Raw genomic sequence first — 6,274 nt, 5'->3', positions numbered from 1 at the left:
CATGCAAACCATAGCAAGTCCTTAGTGTATTAATCATCGTTGTTTTTAATTACCAATATGATAATTGCCAACATTCTTGCCATATCTGAATTTGATTCTGAATGCTCACTCTCTCTCTCTCCAAACTGTTTTTTGTTTGTTCGTTCTTTAGTATGCCTTATAAGTTTTTCTTGATAACAAGACATGATGTACAGGATTTAAAAAAAATTACTGTAAAAATGGGCCTTTAGTAATGTAGTGGTAAGGTTTTGGAGAAGGGAGTTCTATTATTAGGTTTCAGTCTTTTTGTAAGATTGCCTTTGGACTGTAAACTTTACAAGTGCTTCTTAGTCTTCCTCCCTACCCCCACCCCCACTTAGATGGGATAGAATTGCTAGAGAGGGCTGGAGTTGGATATTTTGCTTCTTTCACATAGATGGCTAGAGTGGGCTGGAGTTGAATGCTTCCCTTCTCTGAGGCCCAGTAGAATTTGATAAAACCAAAGCATGTTAAACTCTGGTTAAATAGCTTGAGGACAGACTGTTAAGAAGAACAGAATACTCCGGTATATTTCACAATGGTTCCTTTTCCCTCTGCTGGAAGCATGAGGGGATTTTTCTCTAATATTAACTGTGTTCTCATCTGGTAGAGCTCCAGGAAATAAAACTTATAAAGGCGTGGGGGCCCCTGATTACTTGGTTCCCCTGGAGTTTTTAACTCTCAGACTTGTCCACACTGAGCTTCCAGCAATTCATCAATTACAGTTAAGGATTTCCTACCCTGGCACTGGTTCCTGATGGGTTTTCTGCTCCCATAAGTTGTGATTATCTGTACTTGCCTGTCTTTCCAGTTTGTGGGGAGTAGTTTGACCTCACTTCCCTTAAGAATCTAAGTGTTGATTTTTCAGCTTGTAATTAGATAAATTATTTTTAAAATGGATCTCTTATCCAAATAATTTGTGGTAAGTTTGACTCTAAAATATCTTAGCTTAAAAAAAATTCTACCAGTGGGTTTATCAAGTGAAATTTCACAGCCAATTCAAATAGAGAAGTGATCAATGAGCTTCAAATGAGAAGCATTGGCCCTACTTTGTAAATGCAATAACACCACACACTTCTTTCCATTGCTTGCCAATGCATGATGTTTGTGGATATTTAAAAAAGTAAATCGAGAAATGAGAGGGGTTTAATTAACTAAAAACAGAAGACATACCAGGTGAGAATATTTCAACTTGGCTAGCTTTGGAAAAGCTATTGTGATACTGATGTTATGGAAGCCTGAAAAAAAGCCCCTATGTTGCTCTGTTTGCTAATAGGCTTTGAATGGAACAAACTGTGGATTTTTAAAATTTGTGTTGTCCCCAAATCTATTGTCTTCTTAAAAACAAAAGAGAGAATTGTTTTTATTGAAGTAACTGATAGCTTTTGGCAGGGATGGATTTTTTTTTTTTTTAAAGCATACAGACCGCCCTACTGAACAGCTCACCACCTCACCCTCTGCTAACCAGGGTGGGAAGATTCACAGGTGCTTCTATCAGAAATGCTGATGTGCATTGTTGGAGGGAGGGAGGCTGCCAGCTCTGTGAGGAATGGGCTGTAGGAGCCAAATGGAACTGAATTTTAGGAGAGAGAGAAAATGGAGGAGAAAAGCAGTAGCATGCTTGTGTGTGTTCAACTTTCCTTCCTGATCTCAGAAGTGTATGAGGTTTAATCTTCAAGTGGGTGATATGACAGTAAAAAGCATGACAAAGAAGCTGTTTCCACAATGCATTTTAGTCAGGTTGAGTGTGCACGGCCACATCTGCCCACCACAGTGCCCTCTACAACCAGACTAGGGGATCTTCCCCTGCAGCTGTCCCCATTTCTGCATCCTCCTCCACCAGCTATGAACACCCAATATTTCAAAGCCTTTTGCTTCCCTAAGGACAATAGCAACGCAAGAAATCAGGTCAGGTCTTGTTCTTCCCCCTTCTATCTAAATGGATTTTTCTGAAAGGAAGAAGCCAAGGAGAAGAGGCTCGAGATGCTAGGTATCATCTGAGTGTACAATGTTAATACTTCCTTACCTCACACATCTGATTTCCTAGTTTGCACATGCTTTTTTTCTGTATATCTTTTGAAGCTCTTTGAAGACAAAGAAGCCCTCTATCCTTTGCCCAGAAAAGTTCCACATGCAAAGAGGTCCTTTCAAGTGAGCTTTTAATCACACCAGAAATAAGTTTGCCCTGTGGTCTCTTTATGTGGCTGGCATACTGCAGTCCATGTTATTTTCAAATTGAAGATGTTATTTCCACTACCTGAAGATTATGTGTCTAGATAACTCAGAAGGGCTGTGCTGATAACCATATTAAAATCATAAAAATACCATTATGTTTTTCAAGGCAGAGTCAGATTGAGTTAATCAGAATTGGTTTGCAAGATCCAGTTTGTTTCTCTGTTGAAAATAGTGTCAGGTTGATAAGTCTTTTGTTCCCACACTATCACATTGGGTTCTATTCTAATCTGTGTGATACCCGGACAATACAGATAAGCTAAATGTGGTCTAATCAGTTCTGACTCTTCTGATCTGACTGATATTTTTGCATGGATTTTGATTAATCAGAAATGTACAGAATATTCATGTCTCATCCCATAGTTATGACAGGTGCAGACTTTGCTTTTCATACGTTCAGAATAATGCCACAATTCAAAGTGTCCCTTTCATCTGACATACTACTAATTGAATGATTTCTTTCTTGAAATAACAGAATAGCCTGTTGGCTTTATACTTTTGAAATGGGAAATGTGATTTAGAAAAGCTCCTGTGAAGTGTTATCAATGGTAAATAAATTTGTAATGATGTAATTCAGACTCTCTCAACATAAGAGAATCTCTGAAGATTTTATTGACTTGGTAAGGAGAATAATGGAAAATATACAAAATAGACTCTATAGCAAATGTCAAAAGATTCCAACCAACAGGGAAGGTAGCATCATTTTACCCTCAACAAAAGTATATTTTTCTGTTCTCCTTCAGGACCTTTAATTCCAAATCCCTGTAAATGCTATCAAAGAAAAGATAAACACATGGAAAGACAGAAAGGGATCCAGTCTCAAATACAGATGAGACTGATTGTTGTCTCATCCTAAGTGAAGAGGGAGACTTCTTATCCCACTGGAGATGCATGAAGTTGGAAAGAGCATCACTCGTACACTTACAAAAACAACAACAACAACAACACACCAAAAGAAAAACAAACAAACAACCCCCCCCCCCCCACCAAATCTACAACTTTCATTTACCCTGTCGGAGAGCCAAGGAATGATAGTTGCCTGTGAGACGAGATGAGGTGAGAACATTTTCTTACCTAGGACGTATGAAGCTGAACACTTGTAAGAATAAATTAGCTAAATTTGTTAACAAATTGGTAAAAACTGAGCATAGGTTAGTAAAATTTGTATGTAGTTTAATAATGGAGAGAACATAGAACCTCCAGGGCTACAGATATAAGGGGGTTTTTCACCCACTTTTCCACTAACCTTACCAAGTACTTGCACACAAAAATAATGGTGACAGTCTTGAGAAAGCATCCCTTGAAGGCCATGCTTGCAGGAGGTGAATGGCAAGGCTATGGGAAAGGGAGGATCCCCTTCTTCCTGATCCCTTTCCCCTACCTCACCTATGGAACAACAGTCTTATACTGTGGGAAGAAGGGCAGCAAACACTTTAGGTATCCTTGAAAAAACCCACTGGGGATGGGAAAAAAAAATCAACCTTCTAAACTTGGGGGAGGCGCAGAAGCTTTGAGAAAGCAGTGAAAGCCCGTGAGACTCGGGGGCACAGTGATTACCTAAGTCTGACACATTGTTTGAACCACCAAGAATACTGCTGTCATCATCATCAGGCTAACACATATTAAGGAATGGTGCGGCTCTTCTTAGAGGATTGCAGGAATGTGGAAGGAGACCCTCTCTGACATACAGCAAATAGGGATGACCTAATGCTAAGGTTGAAGCAGACATTGAGAAAAACTCTATGTTGATCCAGCCCCCACCCTTAGCACAAGTCATTACTAGAGGAATTTGAAGCCTGTGGTGCACTGTGAGTAGCCATAGCAACAACAAACCCTAAACGCAGCTCAACTCAGACTAGATTAATTTAAAACTCCGCATTAAAGGCCTAGGAAAGATACACCCATTTTTAGACATAAAACTATTTATCTCACTCTCTGCTATTCTGTACAAAATGTCCAGCTTTCAGCAAAAAAGTATGAGGCAGGTGAAAAGGTAACTAAAAACAACATACTGCAAAGAGACAAAGTAAACAACAGAACCAGACTCAGATATGACACAGATGTTGGAACTTTCAGACAGGAATTAAAATAACTATGATTAATAAGTTAAAGTTTCTAAAAAGAAAGGGGGGGGGGGCAATATTCAAGACCAGATGGGTAATTTTAGCAAAGGAAGGAACCTAAAAGCAAAAGTTACATGGAAATGCTTAAGATGATAAATCCACAATAATAGATAAAGAATGCCTTCAATAGCCTCATCAGTAGACTCAAAACAGCTGAGAAAAGGATCAGTGAACTTGAAGATAGGTAAATAGCCAAAAGATATATTAATTACCAAAACTGAAACACAAAGAGGAAAACTAATAGGGGGGAAAAAAAAGAACAGAGCACCTAAGAGCTGTCAGAAAATGTCAAATGATTTATCATGTATGTACTTAGAGTTCTAGAAAGAGAGAAACGAAGAGAAGAAATAATAGCTGAAATTTTTCTAAAATTAACGACAGGTATGAAATCACAGATTTAAGAAGTTTGGAGAAGACTAAGCAAGATAAATACCACACACCTAGCCACATCATATCTACACTGCTCAAAACCAAAGGGTTAAAAAAAAGGAAACATTACAAGCAGCAGAGAGAGAGAAACAAAAACAAAATTTCATATAAAAACAAAGACAAGAATTACAGCCAACTTATTATCAGAAATTGTATAAACCAAAAGGTATTGGAGTGATAAAAGAACTGAAAGAAAAAAAATAAGTCAACCTAGAATTCTACACCTGGAAAAATATCACTTAAAAATGAAAGAGAAATAAAGATTTTATTTGACAAACAAAAATATATTATTTTTTACTGGCTTATCTACCCTGAAGTAATTTTCTAAAGGTTTTCAGGCAGAAGGAATATGGTATTAGACAAAACTTGGATATATAAAAACTGAGAGCTGTGGAATGGAATAAATTTATATTTTCTTACTTTAAAATCTTCTAAAAGATAGCAGAGTAAGTATTGAAAGCAAAATAATTATTTGATTCTCAAAATAAATTAACTTTTTTGACAAAATTCAACATCTATTTGTGATTTAAAATTCCCAGCAAACTTGGAATTGCTGGAAACTTTCTTAACAATATAAAAGGCATCTACTAGGAGCCTACAGCTAACAACATGTATGAAAACTGAATGTTTTCCTCCTAAGATCGGCAACAAGGTAGGAATTTTCTCTCTTTCTATTCCTAGTCAGCATCATACTAGAAGTCCTAGCTAGGACAACAAGACAATAAAGAAAAAAATAGAAGGCAAATGAATTAGAAATAAAGAGATAAAATGCACTATTCACAGATGACATAATTGTCTATATATAAAATCCCAAATAGTCTCCAAAAGAAGTTCTAGAACAAATAAGTCAGTTTAGCAAGACTTCAATGTACAGGATCATTATGTAAAAATTAATTGTATTTTTATATATAAATAATTAAAAATCAGAGTTTCATATTTTAAAAAGAGCAATATCATTAATAATAGCACCAAGTGCAGGATCTGTGTCTCAAAAAGCACAAAACTTATTTTTTAAAAAAATTTTTAAAAAATTTTTAAAAAATTTTAAAAAAATCAAAGAAGATTTAAAGAAATGGACAGATAGATTCTGTTTTTGGATTGGCTAAATATTGCTAACATGGGAATTCTGCCCCAAACTGATCTAGAGATTCAAAGAAATCCCAATGAAAATCCTAGGAGAATCTTTTATTGATATCGATAAGCTATTTGTAATATTTATATAAAATAGGAAAGGAACTAAAATACTCAAAACAATTTAGAAAAAGAACAAAGTTACAGGTCTCACACTAGCTGATTTCAACACTTACTATAAAGCTATAGTAATCCAAACAGTAAATTATTGGTAAAAGGATGAGCATATAGATCAACGGAACAGACTAAAGATTTCAGAAGTAGACGCATAAACATGTGGCAACTGATTTTTAACAAAAGTAGAAGGACAGTTCAGGGTATTGGATGGGGCTGGATGTCCA

This window comes from Homo sapiens, chromosome 5 (genome assembly GCF_000001405.40).
Source record: "Homo sapiens chromosome 5, GRCh38.p14 Primary Assembly".
Classification (NCBI taxonomy): domain Eukaryota; kingdom Metazoa; phylum Chordata; class Mammalia; order Primates; family Hominidae; genus Homo; species Homo sapiens.
The sequence above is the reverse complement of the archived record's forward strand: the minus strand, read 5'-3'. Positions refer to the sequence as shown.